The sequence below is a fragment of the Homo sapiens genome, chromosome 12 (assembly GCF_000001405.40).
Source record: "Homo sapiens chromosome 12, GRCh38.p14 Primary Assembly".
Lineage (NCBI taxonomy): Eukaryota > Metazoa > Chordata > Mammalia > Primates > Hominidae > Homo > Homo sapiens.
In genome coordinates this window covers 28920817-28947734 of record NC_000012.12, presented here as the reverse complement: position 1 = coordinate 28947734, position 26918 = coordinate 28920817, and the positions used below count along the sequence as shown (strand labels likewise).

At 38.2% G+C, this 26918-nt stretch overlaps 1 annotated feature.

The window, feature by feature from the left end:
- Positions 7754-8953: an enhancer, noted in NCBI's record as "BRD4-independent group 4 enhancer chr12:29091715-29092914 (GRCh37/hg19 assembly coordinates)". NCBI's record gives its function as "activates an origin of replication core promoter dependent on BRD2, P300/CBP, MED14 and CDK7 cofactors, and independent of BRD4, by STARR-seq in HCT116 cells {active_cell/tissue: HCT116}" and the evidence as "EXISTENCE:reporter gene assay evidence [ECO:0000049][PMID:35650434]".

Sequence of the window (26918 nt, the reverse complement as noted above, 5' to 3'; positions counted from 1 at the left end):
CTGATTGACAGCAGTAGCATCTTAGCTTGGATCTAAAACCAAAGCCCAAATAAACAAGCAAATATTTAAGCATCTGTATGGTTAATGACAAATAATGTCATGTCCTCACTATGAAATATGTAGATGTTAGGAATTTATATACTGTATTTGCACACACGCATGACTAATACATACAAAATAGGGGAGTTTATGTATGTACATCTATCTATTATCTGTCTATCTGTCTATCTATCTTGTAAGTTGCAAAACAGCATGAAAATATGGTTTCATTCGGTAAAAAGTTTGAATACAGTATATGTATTCTAAATGTTTATACAGGCATAAAAAACATCTGAAGATATACATATTTCTTTTAGGGAGTAGAATTTGGAGGGTAGGTGAAGGGTGAAGAGGTTTTATTTTTTATGATTCTGAACTGTTTGAAATTTTACAACAAACATGTATTGCTTATAATAAAATGTTTTAAACAGTTATTCATATATATCATACTCAAATAACAAATTGTCAAATATAAACAAAAAGTGCATTATTCTCTGCCAATAATTACTGGCCATTTCTTGAATAATTCAAAAGGATTTTCAAGGTTTTCTGTGGCTCAAGAGTAATAACTTTCCATAATTGTGTAAAAATACAGAATTAAGAGATTAGGCTCTATCAGAACTGTTATGACTGAGGAATAAAGAGTATAATTGGGAAAGTTATGAGAAATGAGGTTGCAGAGGAAAGCAGGTATGGTATACTAAGGCATTAGACATTGATACATAAAGCAACAGAAACGCTTTAAGTAGGTAGAGTAACATAAAAGTTGCATTTCCAACAGACTACTGGGTGAAAGTTGGAAAAAGAAGTGAGCGATGCAAGAGTGGAAGCAGAACTTATGATTTAAGACTGATAATCTTAAAGTTTCTGCCTCAGTTGAGGAATAAGGCTTATAAATCAAACAGCTAGAGAACAAAATGTTAGCTTTTTGACCGAGGAAGTTCAATCAGCTGCTTGTGTCCAATGGCTGGGCTTCCTCATTTCTTCTTTCTCAATTCCAAGTCAAGACTTTGGACTGACCCATTCAAGTGACGATTTCAGCCTGCAGAGTTAGTTATTTGTTCCTTGCAATCCCTAGGGACTAAAGCGGGAAACGAGGCACAGGTTCTCAGACGTGTCTTTGGAGGCAGCTTTGGATCAAGACCAAGACCTAATTATCTTGGTCTGAAGAGCAGAGAAGAATGTGTCCTTTCTTTGGGCAGGCAGATACCACAGGACAAAACCTAAAAGGATTGAACCATGAATGCTTGTGTCTCTTCTTTAGGGGGTGGGGCCATAAGTGAGAAAACGAGGAGACGGAATTGTTGCTGGAATACTTTCCTCTTTTTTCACAAAGAATTTGATGGTTAGGGAATAAGTGTGACCCTGGAGCAGAGGGGTCAGGCAGAGTGAGCTTCAATCACTTTAGAAGTTGCAATGTCCTGAGATAAGGGACAGATTCCCTGAGGTGGGATGGAGCATCTCGGAGTCAGCTGGAGTACAATGGTGTGCTTCTTCAGCATAGATGAGTTCCTGTAGAACCATGAAGAGTTGGCTCAGCAGAATGGGAACATGAATTTATGAAACTAAAACTTGGGGGCTTTTTTAAAGAAATTGAAATGAGCTATTTTCATCTTAGAGGAATAAGCTAATAGTTTAAAGATACATTTGCAAGTTTCTCTGGTTGTGTTTTGAGGTTTTCCATTTAGAAGAGGAATTCCATCATGTTCTGTGTCCTCTCTCTCTCTCTCTCTGCAGGCATAAAATAATACCCCCTTCCAAGCTTTAAGCTGCGTACTATTTCATGGGTAGGCTGAAAACAAGTCTGCAGAAAGATTTGTGCATGAATGTTCACAGTAGCTTTGTTCATAATGGCCTCTAACAGGAAAACTAAAAATATACTTATCAGCAAGTAAATGGATAAGCAAATTGCTACTCAGTAATGTGAACAAACTATTAACACACAACAGCATGTATGATCCAAAAAATATTACGCTGAGTAAAAGAAGGCTACAGAGTACTTACTCTAGATTTCCATTTATATGAAACTCTAGGAAAAATGAACATAATGCATAGTGACAGAGAGATCAGTGGTGGCCTGCAGCCAGTGTTGGGGTGTCAATTTACTGGAAAAGGGCACCAAAAAACCTTTGAAAGTGATGGAAGTTTTTGTAAATTAATTGTACTACTCTTTACAAAGATGTACGATTTTGTCAATCAATGTGCAAAAATCACTAACATTCCTACACATCAACAACAGTCAAGCCAAGAGCCAAATAATGAACGCAGTCGCATTCACAATAGCCACAAAAAGAACAAAAATAGCTAGGAATACAGCTAACCATGGAGGTGAAAGATCTCTACAAGGAGAACTACAAAACACTGCTCAAAAGAAATCAGAAATGACAAACACAAACGCAAAACATTTCATGATATTGGATAGGAAAAATCAATGTTGTTAAAATGGCCATAGAGTCCAAAGCAATTTATAGATTCAGTGCTATTCCTATTAAACTACCATTGACATTCTTCACAGAACTAGGAAAAACTATTTTAAAATTTTTATTATATGGAACCAAAAAAGAGCCTGACTAGCCAAGGCAATCCTAAGCAAAATGAACAAAGCTGGAGGCATCATTCTATCTGACTTCAAACTATACCACAAGGGCTACAGTAACTAAAATAGCATGGTACTGGTACAAAAACAGACACATAGATGAATGGAACAGAATAGAGAACCCAGAACTAAGACCACACAAATACAACTACCTGATTTTCAACAAACCTGACCAAAAAAAAGCAATGGGGAAAGGATTTCCTATTCAATAAATGGACCTGAGAGAACAGGCCAGCCATATGCAGAAGATTGAAACTAGACCCCTTCCTTATACTATCTACAAAAATTAACTAAAGATTTATTAAAGACTTAAGTGTAAAACCTAAAGCTATAAAAACTCCAGAAGACAACCTAGGCAACATCATTCTGGACTTAGGAATGGGCTAAGATTTCATGATGAAGATGTCAAAAGCAATCACAAGAACAAAACTTGACAGATGGGATCTAATTAAACTAAAGAGCTTCTGCACAACAAAGGAATCTATCAACAGAGTAAACAGACAGCCTACAGAATAGGAAAAAATTTTTGTGAACTATACATCTGACAAAGGTCTAATATCCAGCATCTATAAATAAACAAATTATCAAGCAAAAACCAACCCCATTAAAAAGTAGACAAAGGACATGAACAGATACTTTTCAAAAGAAGACATAGATGTGGCCAATAAGCACATGAGAAAAAGCTCAACATCACTGATCATTAGAGAAATGCAGATCAAAACCACAGTGAGATACCATCTCACGCCAGTCAGAATGGCTATTACTAAAAAGTCAAAAAATAACAGACACTGGTAAGGTTGCAGAAGAAAAGGAACACTTATACACTGTTGGTGAGATTGTAAATTAGTACAACCATTGTGGAAGACACTGCGGTGGTTCCTCAAAGACCTAAAAACAGAAATACCATTTGACCCAGCAATCCCATTACTCAAAGGAATATAAATCATTCTACCATAAAGATACATAAACGTGAATGTTCATTGCAGCACTGTTCACAATAGCAAAGGCGTGGAATCAACTAAATTCCCATCAGTGGTAGACTGGATAAAGAAAATGTGGTACATATACACCATGGAATACTATGCAGCCATAAAAAGAATGAGATCATGTCCTTTGCAGGGACATGGATGGAGCAGGAGGCCATTATCCTCAGCAAACTAATGCAAGAACAGAAAACCAAACATTGCAATGTTCTCACTTATGAGTGGGAGCTAAATGATGAGAACACATGGACACATAGAGGGAAACAACACACACTGGGGCCTATCAGAGGGTGGAGGGCAGGAGGTGGGAGAGGATCAGAAAAGATAACTAATGAATACTAGGTTTAATACTTGGGTGTAGAAATAATCTGTACAATAAACCCCCATGACACAGGTTATCTATATAACAAATCTGTACATGTACCCCAACCTTAAAATAAAAGTTAAAAAAATAAATAAAAAAAACAAAGATGTATGATTTCATCAAACTTACTAGACTCTAAAGTGGGTACATTTTATTGCTTATATGCCTCAATAAGACTTAATTTTAAAAGTTCTCCATAAAATCAAGTAGGGGAGGATGTGGATCAGGGGAAACTCTCTTCCCCTGTTCTTGGAAGCATGCATTTTTACAACCATGATTGAAAATGATTTGACATCATCTTATACATTTAAAGACACACTGTCCTAAAATTCATAAGGAAGTCAAGAATGAAGAAAAATCAAAGTAATTTTGAAGGAAATGAGTAAGAATTTGCCTTACCAGGTAACATGACATTTATAAAGAATCATATAGATAGATGGATAAATTAAAATATTGTGATATTTGTACAGAAATAAAAGGCAGGATAGAGGAGTTACATACAGATTCCTGTATATATAGGAAATGGTTATGCCATGCCAGGGGTAATTAGTTGTTTGTGGAGAAATAATAATTGTTCTATACAACACACTCATCTCGTGTGTGTATTACACTTATTTAGATCTTACTATTTGTCAGGCACAGATATAAACACTTTTATATATTAAGACATAGTCCTCCTAACAAACCTATGAAAGCAGACTACTCAAAAAATGGTGACTTCAGGGAGTCTTTTGAGAGACTCAAGATAATTTACTAGGTTATTTAAGTACAATGTTGAATATTTGTGGTTCATGAAAAAGCTTAGTGAAAAATTATATTTATGATTCCCTCAAAAAAGAAAAAAAGACCTAAAGAAGTCTTTAAAATAAATACCTTTTCCGCTATAAAAATTATTTCTTCCCTCACCCCCCACATGCACACACACACACTCAAGTGCATGTGCATACACACACACACACAGACAACTTAGTCAACTTTTGTCCAGAATTTTAACATAATATATATAATTCTGTTGAAAATAGGTAAGCAAATGGGAAATTAAGATACCCTTGCAAGTAGGCAAAATTCTGACAATAAACCTTTTGTTTTTTTTTGCTTTTTATGCCAGGTATTTCCTGTAAGTTATCTCAATGTCTGTTCTATTAACATTATCTTGAATCTGTGTTACTTTAAATTAATAAATTCCAGAAACTCTATCATCAGCAATTCACAATCTATTAAAAATAATATAAACAAAATGGGTATAATAAAAATGAATTATCTATGTATATTTTATCATTAATAAGAATCAGAGAGAGGTATTTGGAAGTCAAAGATGGTATGGTGTAAATGGATCCAAATCAGTCAAAGAGAATGTCCTTAGGGAGATACATTTTGATGATTTCTTAAGTGTTTTGGTTGGAATAATCAGCCTGTTTTAAGCAGATGTTAACACTTTAGTAAGGGATCAGATATGAAAAAATCATCTTCCTGGCTAGATTGTGTATGCAAGCAATATTGACTAGGAGTAACTATAGTTATATAGTTAACCAGTGTAGTATAAGATAATAGAGTTCCTTAGTTGCGTTCAAAGAATTGAAATTAAGGTTTTGTATTTCCGCCAGTAGACAAATCTTGTGTTTTCAGGAATCAGATGAGAATTAAATAGGTGCAACCAGGAAGAAGTACATGGGAATTTTCTAAGAAAGAAGCTGGACATGAGGCAAAGATAGAGCATAGTGGTTATAAGAGCACAGGCTCTCAAGACAAATACCTGAACTCAAATCCTGACTACTATTTACTAGATGTGTGACTGAGGGTAAGATTCTTAACCTCCATATCTCAGTTTGCTTAGCAGCAAAAGAGAGAGAGTACTAATAACTATTTCATACTGTTCTTGTGAAAATTAAATGACATAATCTATGTTAAACAATTACAACAATGCTTAGCACATCCTAAGCACTCCACGAATGTTCATTTTTATCATTACTAGCATTTTAGTTCTCCAACGAGTAATGCTGATGAAGGCGGAGACAAAATGATTGCTTTCGCTTGTGAGTATAATCTAACTATAATTCCAGTGAAACACCAACTTTAATGTACACACAAACACACACACACACAAATGCAAGCCAGGAAGAAGTGACAGTCATACAAACGCAGCTGTAAGATCTTAGTAAACATCTTGCCCATAGAAACAGAATGGTAAGGACCAGTTACAGAGGCATAGTTAGCCAAGGACAGTGTTGGGACTTGTCCATGAACCAGAATTATAAGAATTTGGAAGATAATGTTATGAATATTTTTTAAACATATAACAATTTCTGAATTACAATTCCAGTGAGTCATGCTGCACTTATTGCACAGGGGAGTGTAGGGTGTGACACCCATTCACATTCTTGCACATACTCGCTTGCTCACTCACAGGGGATGGGGTGTTTATGGACATAACCTCACTCAAGTCTGTGCTCCTTTTTACAGATTTTTAAACATTATGCAAATGGTCTTCAACTTACCTCAAACTGTGTATTTCACACACTTTCTCTAACCTTCATGTGGCTTCAAGCCCTTCGTCATTATCCCATATTGAACTTGTAGTCAATTAAAGACACTCAATATTTTTCATATGAGCTAGTTGGTCATATCTTCTTCATCTTCAGCTTATAGCTTGAGGGCTTTAGGAAAGGACTTTAAATTTCCCCTTACTATATTTTAGCTTAATGGATTTGATCTATCAGTCTCCAATGTCTGTTGAGACCACACTTTGTCATTGTATTAGTCCATTCTCATGCTGCTAATAAAGTCATACCTGAGAATGGGTAATTTATAAAGGAAAGAGGTTTAATGGACTCAGTTCCATATGGCTGGGGAAGCCTCACAATCATGGCGGAACATGAAGGAAGCGCAAAGAGATGCTTTACATGGCGGCAGGCAGGAGATAGCTTGTGTAGAGGAACTCCCATTTATAAAACCATCAGATCTTGTGAGAATTATTCACTACCATGAGAACAGTATGGGGGAAACTGACCCCATGATTCAATTATCTCCACCTGGCCCTGCCCTTGACAAGTGGGGTTTATTACAGTTCAAGGTGAGGTTTGGGCGGGGACACAGCCAAACCATATCAGTCATCCAACAAAATTTTTATCTGCCTTGGTTTTGGGTCCTCAGTATATCTGGTAATCATGCATTCTACCACTTCATTAAAGCCACTGATGAAAACACTGAAAAGAAAAAGATTGAGGACAGAGCTCTGATGCAAGTCATGACATTAATTAAACAATTAGCATGCTTCAGGTATATACTGTATATCAATAGATAGCAAACTATATTATTCAGCCATGCCAACAGAGTATATAATTAAGGGACCACATATAGTCAGGGAATTCAGAGCATATCCTTTGAACTAAAATGTGAAGATCTGGCTGTAATAGTTCACATTCACTGTAATTGTTCAAATCCAACAGAGCTATAACTTCCTCTGATCATAATATTGTATTTTTAGAGAGCAGACAGGAGTTCTCATAATTGCTTTCTTATACATGTTTCTCATAGCTCTAGTCCTGGCAGATTTGGGGTTATCATGACAGTACTATTTCATGGTCAAATATATTCTGGAAATGCTACCTACTGAGGAATTCAGTTTTGCATTGCATGTTAGCATCACAAAGATTTAGAAAAGTCCTTCAGTGAAGAAGGACTTGTTTGACTATGAAACGCTTGTTCATGAGATACCACTTAACATTCCAGGGAATTGCAGTTGTACAGCATGGAGAGTTAGGGTCTTGTGAAACAAGGTCTAAGACCCAGGGGAGAAGCCCTCAACATTATCGGGCTTAGAACACCATTGTGTATAGGAGCCTAAATCATAGGGGAGAAGAAAGAGAGGCTCAGGCTTCTGTGATGAGCCCTTCTATTGGTTCTCTTCCTCTGAGCTTTGAGTCTCCAGCAGTCCAGTGACCCTCCTCACTGGCTCTCCTGGTCCCTGCAGAAGAGTGTGGAGGACAAGGGGTTCTGGAAAGACAGTAGAGGAATTGTAGTTAGTCCTGGCCCAAACGGAAATTTTCCTGAGTTGAGGCCTCTGGATAGTTCTTCATGACAGAGGACAACAATTAGCTGTGACACACAATGTTTCTAAAAGGTGTGACTCATATAACTTGCTTCTTATTCCCATGGCTGACTGTGGATTATTCGGAAAGGTGAAGCCAAGGTCACATCATCTATGTTATAGAATGGAATGAAAGAAAGATATCACTCTTACTTTCTGTACTTTCCCTCACTCACTGAAAGTCTTTTTTTCTTTCAGAGTGTTAGAGACAAGGAGAAAGAGAAAAATTGTCTGTATTTTGTTTGTTGGTTTTGCGGCAGAAGGAGCCACTGGGAAGAAACCCAGTGGGTAGAGAGAAACGAGGCTGGCCTCTGCTGTACATAAGCCCAGGCTGATAACTGCACCTTCATTCCCCTCTCCCTGCGTATTCTGGGACTGTGAGATGATGAGAATGTCAAGGCATGATTTCAGTTTTCTGATTACCCAGGGGTTATGTCAGTCAGCCAAACTACAGGCTCTGCCCTGGCCTTCTTGCCCGATAGCTGACCCCGACTTAGCAAGACCACCCTCCTTCCAGCATAAAATCAAATCCTCCGATTTGCTCATCCGTGACTTCTCCCACACACGAAAGAGGCCAAATGTGTTTAATTACCAGAGATTATGTTGTAGTCCAGTGGGCTACCACCCTACAGAGACTCCCGCTGAGATCACAATGTTAATTTCCCTGTCAGAAGTCTGTCCTGATTTTAAGCCATGTTGTCTCGGAATTGAGGAGTTCAAGGTTTTCCCCTTAGCTCAGATATTCGATCTTAGGTCGCTGACGAGACACTTCTGGCAAAAGCAGGAATCATGATTCCAGACTCCCAAACAATAACTTTCATTAAAAGCTCTTCCAATCTCTAAACACATGCGTCCCCCCACCCACTTCTTTGCCTTTCTGTGTTTCCTTCTGTTTTTCTTGGCAGATGTTGGTGTTGGGTAAATATTCCTTTAATGGAGGTGCTTGTCTGTCAGGTCCCATCAAGAGCAAAGGAAATGGCAAGTTAATGAATTCAGGATTGTGTCTGGCAGAAGGTGTGTTCCAGTCCCATGTGGCACCTCTGGCAACAGGTTAAAACAAAACAAAACAAAACATAACAATGGAGTAAAAATGCAGCACTCAGAAACCTGATTTGAAAATGGAATTAAATAATTGTCCAAAATGTAAATGTCCCTAAAGCCATGAGCAAGTGATGAAAGCAGAAGGGAGAGGACCAGAAAGGAGCAATTTCAAAGCAGTCATAGGACAATTAAAAAAAAAAATTTAAAGCAGCAATAAGAGTTTTCCAGAATGAAATTAGTTCAAAACAGTAAAAACATGTTTTTAAGATCTTGCCGTCCATGTGTTGTCTGATGAAGGCGGTAGCAATGAACTGCCTGTAGCAGGGGTATCTTCCCTATACTGCCAGAGCAGCTCCACGCAGGTCCAGGCAAGTCTCCCCTCTGGAGTGTCTCATTCTCTCTAATGCAAAGGCCTGATCATTAAAGAAAATGCAGGATTGTTGGTTGTGTTATTTCAAGTAAGTTTGAACAATTAGTATTTTTCAAATTAAATTATGACCAGTATCCGTGGTCACAATATCCACTTATTTAATGCGGAGGGAAGGCAGGGATATATTATTATATTCTGTTTGTGCAGAAGCAGAATTCAGTATGCACTATAGCAGAGGATAGCATTATGGAGAAGAAAATAAGATTTACTTGGATATTCTTTACTTTATAAACAAAGGAAAAGAGGGAAACTTTGAAATGATATAAAAACTGGAGAAGGAACTAACTCCTTGAACAACGAAAAGGCTATTGATAATGGAACACACATATCAAACATTTGTATAAAAAAATACCCTCAAGGAAGAACAAGTAGAAAGTTATAAAATTGAAAACTGTTGGAGAGTAGAGCTAAGTCAGGGATCTGTTTAGCAGAAAACCTTTCTTTGGAAAAACAGAAAACATTTGAGCACCTTAGTAGAATGGCATGTTGGTCTCCTTGTAAAAAGCAAAAGCATCACTTTCTATCTTAACTCTTCAGGCTGACGGATTAATCATACCTAAAGATGCTGCTGATCAAATATGAGAACCATTTTATTCTTTGTATTTCTACAGAGTGGTAGAAGGTTTTATTGCCTAAGTCATTATCAACAGGTTTTTCTTTGCAAAAGCAATACAATAACAGCAAAAACTACAGATGGGCACAGATCCTCAGTGGTGCAATTAACCTGGATGAGTCCATGTGTTTATCAGGCACTCTCTCGTCTCTGACTTCTCAGCTTACATTCGCAGACACGCTCTCATCCCTGACTTCTCAGCTTACATTTGCACCTCATTCTTCACCACATTCCTCAGTACAGAGTCACTTTAATAAATACTTGCTTAATGAACAATGACTGGGTGAAAAACAGATATTAAATAAAAGTATAATAATATGTAAAGTATCATATTGCTCCAAAATCTTCATCTTCTTTGAAGACTTGAAGGTAAGAAACTGAAGGTAAAATCTCCAAAGAAAGACAATTTGACAATTTGGTTTATTCTCCAAGACATTTCAGAATACTGTCTTTTGAAATGTTGGAGGGAGTCACGTAGAGGATACAGGAGAATCCCTAGGTGCCAATAATAAACTGATGTCAAGACTCACCAATCCAGAGACCAAGACTTTTCCAAGGCCACAGCAAATAGGGTTGACACTGAACATGTATTATGAAAGGATGCCAGAGTCTTGGCATAAGCTCCTCTATCTCGAAGACAAGAAGGATGGGCCTGCCCAAGAATTTTTTCGGAAAGGTTGCCAGGGAACAGCATGGGTGAGGAGAACCCTGACCCTGGAAACAGAAGGGGACTCACTGGGAAACATTATTCCAGGGACAATAAACAACTAGTGAGATTAAAAGGAGAATTTTGAGAACAGAAGAATATCTGTTACTCTTTTTTTCCAAAATCTCACAACCTCTGACCCAAGGACTTAGGGAGAGGGCCTATAACAGGTAGGACTGTATGTAAAAATTGCTGCAAAACATTGGAGTGTAAGGGGATGCTCCTTATGTGCTATTGTAACAAAATAAGTATAAAGGATTTTTTATCCTCCCTTCACTAAAAGGATTATTGGATCATACTGGAAGAAATAATGGTAGAATGGATGGTTATAATGAGAAGTGACAGAAGGCTTCAAGCCACAACTGGCTCTATGAAGACCACATTATTCCACTCTTCAGAATCCTCTGGCCGATTTCCACTGTTCTCCAAATAAGGCTGAAATTCTGCCAAGGGAACAAAAGCCTACACAAAGTGCTCTCCTTCCTCACCAACTCCATCTCCTCCTGCTCTGTCTCCCCCTTTCTGCTCCAGCTACTGTGACCTTCTTGCTGTTTCTCTAGCAAACCAAACCTACCACAGCCTCTGGGCCTCTGCACTGGCTTTCCCTGCTGTCTGGCAGGCTCTGCCCTAGATATGCACCTGGCTTCCTTCCTCATTTCATCCAAGTTTCTGCTTAAATGTTACGTCCTTATAGAGGCCTTTCCTGATTCACCTTATCCAAAATAATTTCCCACTTTTACTCTCCCACACCAGATAGTCTCTATTGCTTTAGTTTTATTCAAAATATTTATTATTACCTAAATCATAACGGTGTGTTTATTTACTTATTGCTTACTTCCTACGAGAACGTAATATCCATGAAACAGGTTTCATGCTTTTCTTTTCTATGCTGAATATTTAGACCCCTAGAACAATGGCTTGCTCATAGTAGTGTCTCAATAAATATTTGTTGAACAAATTGATGAATATCCCAAAATAAGACCTATAAAGACAATGTCCAGATTGGGCTCTACATCACAGAGCCAATATTAGCAGCCAAAGAGTATCTTGACAAAACAACAGTGAGAAGGGAGGGGCGGGGGCATCTAGGGAGCAAGGTCTGGGTATACAAACAACCCAGGCCAGAAACAGAAGAAGGCTCTCCCAGGGGAGAAGAAATGCAGGTTGTGAAAGCAGAAATCTAAGACATTCATTTCAAGAGTGGAAAAAGAGAAGACTATTGACTGGTGATTGTGAGAATAATATTAGGATGACAAGCAACCCAGCTTAGGGCATTCTGGGACCCATGAGGAAGAATTAGAGTTGGGTTAGGTTTCCCTATTTTTTTTTTAAAGAAATGGGGTCTTGCTCTGTCATCCAGGCTGGAGTGAGGGGTACCATCGTAGCTCACTGCAGCCTAGAACTCCTGGGCTCAAATGATCCTTCCACCTCAGCCACCTGAGTAGCTAGGACTTCAGGCATGTGCCACCACACCTGGATAACTTATAATTTTTTTTTTTTTGGTAGAAACATGGTCTTACCATGTTTCCCAGGCCTGCCTTAAACTCCTGGGGCTCAAGTGAACCTCCTGCCTCAGCCTCCCAAGGTGCTGGGATTACAGGTATATGCCACCGTTGCTGCTCCTGGCCTAGGCTTCCCCTCTTCTGACGGTGGGGGCTGAATCAGAATTATGTTGATTGGTTAATAATAGCCCCACTCTGTGCTGAAACCAGTGTGGTCAGGAAGACATGGTCCCTCACAGAAAAATCTCAGGTCCCAACTGTGACACCTTTTTTATTACAATATAGTTCAACAGCGTGATTTGAAGGTTCTTTGAACTACTGTGATTTTATGTCAAGCCGAATGCTGGAAGTTAGTCTATTAAAGCTCTTTACATCGTATTCTAAACATCAAAACATGGTAACCACATTCTAAAAATTTGTTTTTGAGAAATGAGAACCCCTACTGAGCCACATAAGAACATCTACTAGTCTTACTAGCTTGTGGAATCACCTTTGCATACATACTTTAAGACAGCAGAGTAGGGATGGGTCTTCTTGATGTTATTTATCAAACAGCCATCAACAGTGAAGACTCAGGGCACAGCTAAAAATATAAATAAGTTACTTGACACCCCAAATTTGAGACACAAGCAACTAGATATAAATCTCTTTTCTCTATGAAATAAAGTACTGATAAAACCAACAAAAAGGGGACCTGAGAATGAATATTTTCAACCCCATATATTTTCAAATACAATGAATGCATATTTACTCAGAAGAAATTACCTACAGACAAAAGAGCATCTAATTAGCAAATTTTAGTTTTAAAAACATGTTTTAACTTTGGGATGTTTATAGGCAAGTTTGTTTATCTAAAATAAAACACACCGCATTGAATGTCCTAAAGTTACTACAATGTTAATTCATTTAGTACTCGGCCTGACTAACGCGTATCAGTTGAATAAGTCTTGGCAGTATGCAAGTGGAAGAGATTGAAATAGATACTATCATGATTTATAAACAAAAAGGAGACTGACTAATGTTACATGAATCTATTCACACTTGAGAGTGCCAAGGTTTTTAAGTTACAGTGCCAATCTCCATGATAGTGAAATAATAGACACAAACTGCCCTGGGTTTCATTCACCCATATAAATGAGGTGGGATCTCTGCAGGTGCAGGTGTGCGCGGCAGGAGTACACATATGCCCACAATATCAGATTCTCACTCCGCCCATGCAGGTGAGGTGTGGAACGACAGAAATATTTTGGATGCTCTCCTCAAAACTGATGGAACACAGACCCAGGAAAAGGCCTCCATCACCACAATGTAACCATTCCATGTAGAGGCATGTAATTGGGATGGGCTCTGGAAGTGGATTTGAAGTAAATGTTAGTGATTCATCCAGGACTGTAATTTCTAATTTAGGAGAAACACAGGTGCCTGAGTTTATAACAGATCTCTCTTCTGAAACCTCCAGCTATGCACTGCTGATTTGTTACAATGGTAGAGGTCCTGAAATGTTCTCTTTAAAATATAGATGACTTGGAGAAGGGGCTGATTCTAAAATTGGGGCAGGAAAAATCCAAGATGAGCTCAGATCATCTTGTATCACAAGTACGTAAGGTAGTACACAAGTATTGGATCATCTATATTATTAATAAGTGTCCCAGGTGATGCTAAGCTCATCAGTTCTGAACCCTATTTTGACAAGACTGCCTTAGAAAAACCACCACAACATTTTATCTTTCAGTAAATGGTTGAGGGATATGAAATGGTGGTGTTTCCCAGGTTAAAGTCAGATTAACTGCACTACCAAGCAGTTTCTAAAGTACATCTGCCCTTAAGTTGAGTTGACTTGCATTATTTATGGACCATTTAGACAAAATTGATGTTTCTTATAGTTTATCAAACTACTGAGTGTTTCTCAGGGTAAGGAATGTGCTACCAAGATAAATAATGGAGGCCACAGAGCATTAGCTATGGTCTATATAGAAGCATAACCCAACCTCCCTGACAGCTATAACCCTACCCTATAAAGCAAAGGGAGCGAGTGAGCTCACCCAGCCTTTCCTTCCCTCTATTGTTGAATTTCCTCTTTTGCTGGTTCTGATATTTTCCTTTTTCATGGATTATTCTTTCATTTTAGTAAAGCATATCCACTAAAAGTCTCTTGAGAAAAAAAATGCATGGGAGGTAAGTAATTTGCAAACTTCCATGTCTGAAAATGATTTCACTTGTATCCACATATTTGATTGATAGTTGAAGTATCAAATATTTTAAGATAAAATAATTTAACTAAAGTTTAAAACTTTCCCGACAATGTTTAGTGCCTTGCCTTGCCATCTTTCATCTATCAGTTTTGCTGGACAATAAGCCATGCTTATTTTCTACTTTCTCCTTTCTTTATAGCTCATTCCTTTCTCTGAAAGTCTTTAGGATCTTCTTTTTGTCCCAGGTATTCTATAATGCATGTTGTTATGTGCTTGGCTGTTGGTATTTTCCACTCATTTAGCTGGAATCTCATGTTATTTTGTTCTGGGAAGCTTTCTCCTATTTTTAAAACATAATTTACTGTCTTCTATTTTTCTGGTCCTTTTTTGGGATTCCTGGTCATTAGATATTGAGTCTCTTGATTTGATGATACAGGAGTTCTCATAGCTTATCTCATGGGACACATATGGTTCCTGTCTATAAGGAGTTCACATATGTTCAATTTTTTTTTCTCTGTCACCCAGGCTGCAGTGCAATGGTAATGGTGTGGTCTCGGCTCACTGCAACCTCTACCTCCCTGGTTCAAGCGATTCTCCTGCCTCAGCCTCCTGAGTAGCTGAGACTACAGGTGCATGCCACCACACTTGGCCAATTTTTGTATTTTTAGTAGAGAGGGGATTTCACTATTTTGGCCAGGCTGGTCTTGAACTCCTGACCTCGTGATCTGACCGCCTCGGCCACCCAAAGTGCTGGGATTTTATAGGCGTGAACCACTGCACCTGGCCAGTCATCTTTTCTATTATTATATTTATGAGTCTTCTTAGAAATTTATGTCCTTGATAGTTGTCCAACAAATGTTAACCTTAGTTCAGCTTTAGTCAATGTGGATTGTTTTTTCTTTCTTTCTTTCTTCTTCTTTTTTTTTTTTTTAACCAGGAAACTGATGTTGGAGAGAAAAAGAATGTTTGACTTAATGATCTTGGTGGGGTCCTTTTCATAGCAATTCAATTGTTAGAGTTCATCTAGATGTAATCTTAGTCTTAAATCAGTTTCCTGGTAACTGGGTGAAGACTCATTTAGTGTCAACAGCATGCTTAAATGATCCTAGCGGCATTATTTCAAGCTCTCATGTATTTCACTTGGTAACCATTAGAAGAATCAATCAGTCCTTGGCTTATCAAATGAGATTAATTATGGCCAAAAATGAGACCACAGTGAAGTCAACTAAGCATCAGCTTTAAAAGTGTTGTTTCTAAAGGCAATAGCTAGCTTTGCTCTTTGAATATTGGACAACTTCAGAGTCAGGCATTTGAAATGCCAAATTTTAAATACATGTGTGTAGTGGTGTTGACTTCCCAACATAATGCTAAATATGGTTCATTTTCACTTTCTTGATATTTTGACCTCTAGTGTAGACTACACCATCTTCCTGTGTTACACATAGACTAGGCTAGGGTTTGCCTTCAACCGTTCATTATCTTGATGTCTTCTTGGGAAACTTTGGGATATTAAGCCACTTCAGATGGGTTTGACTATATTTGCTATAGCATCAGAAGGTGCTATTACCTATCATTCTTTTTTTTTTTTTTTTTTTTGAGACAAAGTCTTGCTTTGTCACCCAGGCTGGAGTGCAGTGGCCCGATCTTGGCTCACTGCACCCTGTGCCTCCCAGGTTCAAGCGATTCTCCTGCCTCAGCCTCCCAAGTAGCTGGGATTACAGGTGTACACCACTACTCCTGGCTAATTTTTGAATTGTTAGTAAAGACGGGGTTTTGCCATGTTGACTAGGCTGGTCTCAAACTCCTGAACTCAGGGGACCCACCCACCTCGGCCTCCCAAAGTGCTGGGATTAGAGACATGAGCTGCCACACCCGGTCCTACCTATCATTCTTTTTTGATTTTTTAACATATCTTTCATGATTACTATCATGCCTAAAATCATCTTCTCTGGATATCTCATATGTTCCTTTCTTCCTAAATGTTGATTATTTTAGGTATCCCTGGGCCTAAGTTGCAATAAAATTTTCTGGAAGGCAGGCAATATGTACTATTGTTATAATGCCATTCAGTAATATCTGCTTTATCATTTATTTTCATTTCATTTTCATTCCTTTTTTCTTTTTTTGTCTTCTTGTAATACGGCCTAGTGGAACTAGCACGGACTTGAGAATCAGACAGACTTGGATTCATGAATCTACCACTTGTCCTGGCTTTGTGACCTTGATTGGGCTAACTAATCTTTCTAAGCTTAAAGCTTTAAAAGTGACCAAATATGCTGATTTTGCAAAACTGTTACCATGATTACATAATAAAATGAATCTCATCTTACTAATATGTAATTAACATGTGTAATTTTGAATAACATGATTCTACTAATTAGGGTGTTTTTCAAACCTTGTTGTTCACCAAAATCACCTGAGACACTTACAAAAAAATACAAATGCCCAAGCCTCAGTGATTCTGACTTGATCAATCTGGGATAGGGCCCAGACAGTTGTAATTTTTAAAGGTCGTAGGTAATCCTAATGTATAGCCAGCACTGAAAACTATCTGATGAGAATTCAGTGAATGACAGCAATCATCATTCTAAGATGATGATGAAAAACTTCTTAGGAAACATACAATGGTGACAATTCTTAAGCCACCACAGGGAAGATGAGAATCTATGGGCTACAAAAATAATCACCTTATTTTCACATACCTGTATGATTTGCAGTGCTAGAGAAAGAGTCATATGGGGTTTTCCTTGTTTCCTCTATACCTACAAAGACCCTTGAACATGGCTTTATAGATCCTGGAGAATAAGTAGACACCAGTTGTCTTAATACCAGCAAGATTTAAAAGAAACATATATTTTAAAGTAGTTATTACTCAGGCATACTCCACCTATCCTCATATATAAAATTTGATGTGAAATTAAAGAAAAAAATCCCTTGAAATAAGTCAAATAACTATTAAATGTAAATGTACAGATATGCTGAAATTTTTTAAAAAATTATTTCTTTATAAAATTTCAAAAGGGAAACAAGTTTGGAAAACTTTAATATGGGTACTAAAGAAAGTTTTAACCTATTTTAAGATAAACAAAAGTCAAAAGTTTTTCATCATCTTATTTGGAAGAACATGCACAATTATGGTTTTTGCTTTCAGTCTAAAACAACCCATAAATCTCATAGCAGTTTGTTACTAGTATTGAGGGATCCATAATTAAGTTATTCCACACTTAAAAGGTAACTCTAGAAAGTAAGTCAAAATAAACATTTTAGCATGCTAACAAAACCAGAATAGGGGTAAGGCCACCAGGGAAGAATAATGGCCTGACTTCTTTTGCAGCTTGTCCAGAGGTCTGAATACAAGGAACATTAATATACCCTATTATGTCAAAAGTAAATAACATTATTATTCTATTACTGATCATAATTTTTCATTGCACTGGAAGAGGCTGTATAAACAACAAAAATAACCACTTAAAGGAAATAGTGCAATGTTTGGAAATGTAAGATAGAAAATTTGCAATAGAATATTTGTTCCAGAATATTTATATAAAGACGCATCAAAGGATAATGGTATATCCTGGTGGTTTTTCCCATGAAACGGAACTAACATGGTATTAACATATTTTATACTATTACAGAACACCAAACAGTTGCTAGGCACTGTGATAAGTGCATCATCTTATTCAATTTAATTTTGACTCATAATAACTTAAACATTATTATCTTTGTTTTACCATTGAGGAAACTGAGCTCAAAGAGATTAGGTCCTTGCTATTCAAAGTGTGGTCCACCACCAGCAGCAGCAACAGCAAAGGCATTGCCTGGGTACCTAAAAGAAATGGTGCAAGGATAGGCTTTTCCCCAGAACTCTTGGTTGGCATTAACAGTTTAAGGAGATCTCCAAGTGATTCTTATGTGAGAGTAGCACTGGTATAAGTGAGTTGCCCAAGGTCATGCAATTAGCTGCCTCTGAATTTAGCTTAGTCACTGTTGATATAAGGCAGGCTCTAAAATGTGTACCCTAGGAAGTAAATGATACGTGCTATTTTTTATGAAGGTAAGGCTGTGAAAATGAGTATCGTGCAGGGCACTCATAGGTCAACCCAGAATGAAGGAGGATAACAAGGGTTGTGTACTCCACAGGTATGAGTGTGAGATGCATCCCTCTGCATTCACAGCAATGGGGGTCTTCTGCCCTGACTCTAAGGAACAAATTCCATCAGCTTCTCCAACTACCCAAAGTGTCCACGCCTCAAAGTTTCCATCCCCTCTCCACTCCATACACAGGCATAAGAGCATTATCTTTGATGGGGTCAGGGGAGGAAATGCTCCACTTTCCCCTTGCTGTCATTGTCATCACCATCTCTGACTGTCCTCTGAGCGTGGGAGTTAGCTCACGTTCCTATAATGAAGTCCCTCATAGAACAGCAACACTTGTGGGATTCCCTAACAATTGAAGATATTTCTTATTATAGTTCTCCAACTTTTTGTAGAGGTAAAGCCCCCTCATTTATGTCTGGGAATCCCTATGGGTATCTCATGTGTGTTCAGTTAAGTCCTGTCAGCTACCACTTGGTACCCTCTGTTTTTCTCTCCCACCTCTGCCTGCACAATTTTCCTATTTCCAAATCCCTTCACTGTATCCACAGACACTGCTCTTCAGGCACTCACAACTGTGGCTTTTCCTGAGAACTTCTCTGCCACCAGGCAGCCACCAACACAGTAATCCTGGAAGTGCTTTGGAGATCAAGGCTGCTATAACTTGTGCAGCATGCAGGAAGAAAGGCACTGTCCCTTCGGGGACATCACTGGGGAACTCATAGCAAAGCCCAATTCACATGACCAACTCAGCCCTCTCATCTCTCAACTAAGTCTTCACTACTGGGCCAGGCTCCTCTGCCCAGTGCTCTCTTGTGCTACACTGTCTGTCTACATCTCTGTATATGGTGGCTTTGTGCAGTACTTAGTTCAGAGATGCCCAATGAACACTGACTGTTTTGAATGGATGAACAATTTCTCTCCATAGTTACTCATACAAATTCTGGCAGGCCTGGCCACCAAGTCACCAGACACACTGAGGCATGTCTTAGCTACCTCAGTGAAGACAGCTCTCACTGAGGAGCCCTTCCGTTAATAAAAAGGATGGATTCTGAAGAGATTGGTGCTGTTAAAAATTAGAAAGGAGACACTACTGCAGTCATTATTCTCTCTGAATGCCCGTGTGACAATGGGGTGTTCTCTTCCTCTCTCACCTGCAGGCCTTGTAACCTGAACTCCTTCGTCTCATTTCCAAAGGCTGCCTCTTCTCCTGAGTGGCTTCACTTGGGATTTAAAACCTGCATGAAGTCAAGGCTCAGACCTGGCTTCCTTGGCTCCCACTCAGATCATATGGCCAAGTGGGAGTGATCAAGACTGTGGGCTCCTCACCTGAGGCCTGTTTCTGTTGCATCCCAGCCATCTCCTTGTTGCAGCTGCCCATTACCCAATACCAAGAAGAGAGGACTTCTCCCAGTGACACTCACCCAGTGTCACCTTTGTCCACAAATATCTAGTCTTGTGGAACATGTGGATTAAAATACCAATGAATTCTTGTCTGTTTGGGTTCATGTTTTTCTATTAGGACAAGGAATATATAACCAGAGACTAAAACTAAGTGCTGTAAAATTAGTGGTAACATTTTGTTTAATCCCGAGAGACACTTTGTGAGTAAAAACGTTTGTTAGGTGAAGAAACTGAGAATGAGCCAAATTTGTTAATAAGTTAGCTTGCTAAGAAGTAACACAGTTAATAAGGGTTATAGGCTGATTAAAATTCCTATCTGGCTGCCTCCTCCATATGTGCTCAGAGTCTTTGGACAAGTGTGGATGCTGAGTTAAGGGAGTGAGGATCTCTATTCCCAGTGAAGCATCCTTGTGAGAGCATACACGCATCCTCAGCCAAGACAGAATCAGTGGCTCTAGGGTTAAATGGCCTTAAGTGAGGGAAACAATGGATGTGGTGTTACTTAGGTTTGTCCCTCATTGCATTGATAGAAGCTGTTAAGCACGTTCAGTTACAGATTGATGTACAGTAATTCCGACAAAAATGCTCAACAGCATCGACTGTGGACAGTAGTCCAAGATGGTGTTCAACTGTCTCTACATAACTGTCAGCAAGAGACTCAGAAAAATAATGTGGGCCCTGGTGTCCCTCTACACACTGCTGATTAAGCGATACCTGAGACTGGGAAGAAAAAAGAGGTTTAATTGAACTTACAGTTCCACATGGCTGGGGAGGCCTCAGAATCACGGCGGTTGGCAAAAGGCACTACTTACATGACGGTGGCAAGAGAAAATGAGGGAGAAGCAAAAGCAGAAACCCTTGATAAACCCATCAGATCTCATGAGACTTATTCGCTATCATGAGAATAGCATGGGAAAGAACTGCCCCCATGATTCAATTACCTCCCCCTGGGTCCCTCCCACAACACAGGGTAATTCTGGGAGATACAATTCAAGTCGAGATTTGGGTGGGGACACAGCCAAACCGTATCACCTGGGAATGGTGATGTCAGGAAAATGTGCTGCCACTGCCAGTGGGAGGCCATGCCAACAAAGGCCACCATCATTGTGACCCAGTGTTGAGACTTGCACTGGAATCTATTTCCAACAATAGTTATTTCCACCAAGAACCATTTCTTCTCTAGAGGTTACATGGAGGCCACCCACTGGCACAACTCTGGAAGAAAGTCCAAGGCCACTCTTGGGAACCCAGATAACATGTAGCCTGGGGAGACCTGGCTCCCTTCACTATTCCCAGGCTGGGTCACATTTGCCAGGATAGAGTTTGTTGATCTTTGAGGAAACTCTTCACTGAGGATGAATAACAAATTCCCCCATGAAAACCTGGCAGGATTAGAGGCAATGAAACTTGATGTTTGGGGAGCCTTCTGCAGAGAATTACAGTTATGACTGGGTTCCTTGGCTGGGAAGCGCTTGGAGAGGGAGGGTTACATGTTATCATTTACCATTTGCTTTGGGACATCTGGTCAGCAGCTGTTGACAGAAGACTCTCTGAAACTTTGAAGGTCATCACCATCACTGAGCAATGATTTTTTTTTTTTCTCTAAAGCTGATCTTATTCTTCTGGCATTTCCACTTTTCTCACTCCTATTTTTGAGGTTTAACCTAATTTCCTCCTGAAATTTCTGGATGTTTCTCTGAGGCTCTCGCCTTGCTCTTTATTTCCAAACACTTTTTTGGGAGTTCTATTTACATGACTTTGCTTAAACGTTTCCAGACTCCTCTCAATCAACTGTGTCTGCCCATCAGCACAGGCCATTCTTTCATCATTTCATTCCTGTTGGGTCTTGTCTTGCAGTCCCCTAAATGTTCCCTTCCTGCCCCTACCACCAAAACATGTCACTCTTCACTCTCACACAAAAACACCCTTAGCAATGTTTACATATAATAAGCTACCTTTTTCCAGTGCTTGAGAAATTCTCAAGGAAAAACTTTGTCACTTGTGGAGGCTTCTTTAAACTCTATCATTCTGCTGATTTTCCAGGTAATTACTGCTAACTGCAATGCCTGTGGGCTAAGAGCAGCCTTGGATTACCTTGTCTTTACCTTCTCCAAGCAAGCCAAGAACACTCCCATGGCACTAGTCAGAGTTTCTGAGGGTGGGAGGTCACTGCTAATTCTTCCCTCACTGAAAATGTCCCACAAAGTGTTGTTTGTCCCACAGGCTTGGTGTGAAGACTAAATGACATAATGATATAATAAATACAGTGCTTTACTCAACCCAACACAACTTCTGGCCATCATCCTTCCATTCGCATTATATGTCTTTGATGCAAAGGATTTTGGAATTCCTTTCAAGTCATCATTTTCATTCTCACATACTTCTCTTGTGATCAAGTGGCCCCACACAGCTGATTCTTAGGAAATTTGTGAACTTGGAGTCTTTGCAAAGGCTTTACCTTATGTGTATAGATTATTTTTTTCTAATGAATTGTGTTTCTTTACTGGTATGAATAGTATTAAAGTTGCTGAAGTTTTCTTTTCCTAGTTCCTTTTTCCTTTTCTTACACAGAGAATTTGCTTGAAATACATAATAAATTCTCAATATGGGGCACACTTCTCCACTACATTCTCAGATGAAGATGATGTGAGAACTTTCGTTAATTTTTTTTGGTAAAATAGTCTCAGTGATTTCTTTTTAACCTAAAAGTCTTTTCTCATTACTATTGATGAAATGTTGTAAACATCATTTCCTATCTTGTTCAGCCTCGCCTTCTTAGGTAAGAGTAAAAAGGCTATAGTCATTCATGTTTAATGCTGACATGTTTTATTGAAGATAATCTACACCAACATGTATTAATTCTTCTTTTTTTCCTCATTTTAAAGTTAGAAATGGAAAATATCCTCTAAACTTAATCAGCAACTGAAGATACACCATAAAAAGATGTATAGATAGCTTTTATTACCTTGAGGTATGTCCCTTGTATGCCGATTTTGCTGAGGGTTTTAATCATAAAGGGATGCTGGACTTTATGAAATGCTTTTTCTGTGACTATTGAAATGACCATGCGATTTTGGTTTTTAATTCTGTTTATGTGGTGTATCACATTTATTGATTTGCATATGTTAAACCATCCCTGCATCCCTGGTATGAAACGCACTTGATCATGGTGGATTATCTTTTCTATATGCTGTTGGATTTGGTTAGCTAGTATTTTGTTGAGGATTTATGAATCTATGTTCATTAGTGATATTGGTCTGTAGTTTTATTTTTTGTTATGTCCTTTTGGTTTTGGTTTTAGGGTGACACTGGTTTTATAGTATGATTTAGGGAAGATTTCCTCTTTCTCTATCCTGTGGAATAGTGTCAACAGAATTGGTACCAATTCTTCTTTGAATGTCTGATAGAATTCAGTGGTGAATCGGTCTGGTCCTGGATTTTTTTTTGTTGTTGGCAATTTTTTTATCACCATTTCAATCTCGCTGGTTATTATTGGTCTGTTCAGTTTCTGTATCTTCGTGGTTTAATCTAAGAGGGTTGTATCTTTCCAGGAATTTATCCATCTCTTCTAGGTTTTCTAGTTTATGCACATAAAGGTGTTCATAGCAGCCTTGAATAATCTTTTGTATTTCTGTGGTATCAGTAGTAATATCTCCCATTTCATTTCTAATTCAGCTTACTTGGATCTTCTGTCTTCTTTTCTTGGCTAATCTCACTAATGGTCTATCAATTTTATTTATCTTTTCAATGAATGAGTTTTTGTTTCATTTATCTTTTGTATTTTTGTTGTTGTTGTTTCAATTTCATTTAGTTCTTCTCTGATCTTCATTATTTCTTTTCTTCTGCTGGGTTTGGGTTTGGATTGTTTTTGTTTCTTCAGTTCCATGAGGTGTGACCTTAGATTGTCTATTCATGCTCTTTCAGACTTTTTGATGTAGGCATTTAATGCTATGAACTTTCTACTTAGCACCATTTTGCTATATCCCAGAGGTTGTGATAGGTTGTATCACTATTATTGTTCAGTTCAAATATTTTTTTAATTTCCATCTTGATTTTATTGTTGACCCAGTGATCATTCAGGAGCAGGTTATTTAATTTCCATGTATTTGCATGGTTTTGAGGGTTCCTTTTGGTGTTGATTTCCAATTTTATTCCACTGTGGTCTGAGAGAGTACTTGATATAATTTCAGTTTTCTTAAATTTACTAAGACTTGTTTTGTGGTCTGTCATATGGTCTATCTTGGAGAATGTTCCATGTGCTGATGAATAGAATGTATATTCTGCAGTTGTTGGGTAGAATATTCTGTAAATATCTGTTAAGTCCATTTGTTGTAGGGTACAGTTTAAGTCCATTGTTTCTTTGTTGACTTTCTGTCTTGATGACCTGTCTAGTGCTGTCAGTGGTGTATTGAAGTCCCCCACTACTATTGTGTTTCTATCTCATTTCTTAGGTCTAGTAGTAATTGTTTTATAAATTTGGGAGCTCCAGTGTTAGGTGCATATATATATATATGTATATGATTGTGATATTTTCCTGTTGGACCAGTCCTTTTATCATTATATAATGTCCCTCTATGTCTTTTTAAATGGCTGTTGCTTTAAAGTTTGTTTTGTCTGATATAAGAATAGCTACTCCTGCTCACTTTTGGTGTCCATTTGCATGGAATATCTTTTTCCATCACTTTATCTTAAGTTTATGGGGATCATTATGTGTTAGGTGAGTCCCCTGAAGACAGTAGAAACTTGGTTGGTGAATTCTTGTCCATTCTGCTATTTAGTCTCTCTCTCTTTTTTTTTTTTTCGAGATGGAATCTCGGTCTCTGGTCAGGCTGGACTGCAGTGGCGCGATCTTGGCTCACTACAACCTCTGCCTCCTGGGTTCAAGTGATTCTCCTGCCTCAGCCTCCTGAGTATCTGGGACTACAGGCACGCACCACCACGTCCAGCTCATTTTTGTATTTTGAGTAGAGACAGGGTTTCACCATGTTGGCCAGAATGGTCTCCATCTCTTGACCTCATGGTCCTCTCGCCTCGGCCTCCCAAAGAGCTGGGATTACAGGTGTGAGTCTCCACACCCAGCCTATTCCATATCTTTTAAGTGGAACATTTAGGTCATTTACATTCAATGTTAGTATTGAAATGTGAGGTGTTATTCTATTTATCATGCTCTTTGTTGCCTGAATAACTTGGTTTTTTCATTGTGTTATTGTTATGTAGGTCCTGTGACATTTATGCTTTAAGGGGGTTCCATTTTGGTGTATGTTGAGGATTTGTTTCAAGATTTTGGGCTCTTTTTAGCAGTTTTTGTAGTGCTGACTTGATAGTGGCAAATTCTCTCAGTATTTGTTTTTCTAGAAAAGACCATATCTTTTCTTTATGTATTAAGCTTAGTTTTGCTGGATTCACAATTCTTGGCTAATAATTGTTTTGTTTAAGGAAGCTAAAAATAGAACCCCAATTCCTTCTAGCTTGTAGGGTTTCTGCTGAGAAGTCTTCTGTTAATCTGATTAAGTTTTCCTTTATAGGTTACCTGACGCTTTTGCCTCACAGCTCTTAAGATTCTTTCCTTCATGTTGACTTTAGATAACCTGATGACTATGTGCCTAGGCTATAATCTTTTTGTGATGAATTTCCCAGGTGTTCTTTGAGCTTCTTGTATTTGGATGCCCTAGATCTCTAGCAAGGCTGGGAAAATTTTGAATTATTCCCTCAAATATTTTTTCCAAACTTTTAAATTTCTCTTCCTCCTCAGGAACACCAATTATTCTTAGATTTGGATGCTTAACATAGTTCCAAACTTTTTGAAGGCTTTGTTCATTTTTAAAAATTCTTTTTGCTTTGTCTTCGATGGATTGTGTTAATTCAAAAGCTTTGTCTTCAACTCTGAAGTTCTTTCTTCTGTTTGTTTGATTTTGTTGCTGAGACATTCCAGTGAATTTTGCATTTCTCTAAGTGTGTCTTTGATTTCCAGAAGTTGTGATAATTTTTATTTATGCTATCTCTTTCACTGAAGAATTTTCCTTTCATATTGTGTATCATGTTTTGATTTCTTTAAGTCAGACTTCACCTTACATCTTGTAGTCCCCAGTGCTTATTGTTCCCATCTTTATATCCATGTGTACCTGATGTTTAGCCCTCACTTATAAGTGAGAACACGTGGTATTTAGTTTAATGTTTCTGTGCACAGTAACTTAAGAAAATGGCCTCCAGCTGCATCCATGTTACTGTAAAGTACATTATTTCATTCTTTTTTATGGCTGTATAGTATTCCACGGTGTATATGCGCCACATTTTCTTTATCCAATCCACTGTTGATGAGCACCTAAGTTGATTCCATGTCTTTGATATTATGAATAGCACTGTGGTAAACATATGGATGCATGTGTCTTTTGGGTGGAATGATTTATTTTCCTTTGGGTATATACTGAGTAATAGGATTGCTGAGTCAAAAGGTAGTTCTATTTTCAGTTCTTTGAGAAATCTTCAAACTGCTTTCCACACTGGCTGAACTAATTTATATTCCCACCAGCAGTGTATAAGTGTTCCCTTTTCAATGCAACCAGGCCAGCATCTGTTATTTTTTGACTGTTTAGTAAAGCCTTTCTGACTGGTGTGAGATGAGATCTCATTGTGGTCTTGATTTGCATTTCTCTGATGATTAGTGACGTGGAACATTTTTTCCTGTATTTGTTGGTTGCTTGTATGTCTTCTTTTGAGAAGTATCCGTTTGTGTCCTTTGCTCATATTTCAGTGGTGTTGTTTTCTGCTAGTTCATTTATTTAAGTTTTTTACAGATTTTGTGTATTAGACATTTGTTGAATGCATAGTTTGTATTTTATTCCATTCTGTATGTTGTCTATTGATTG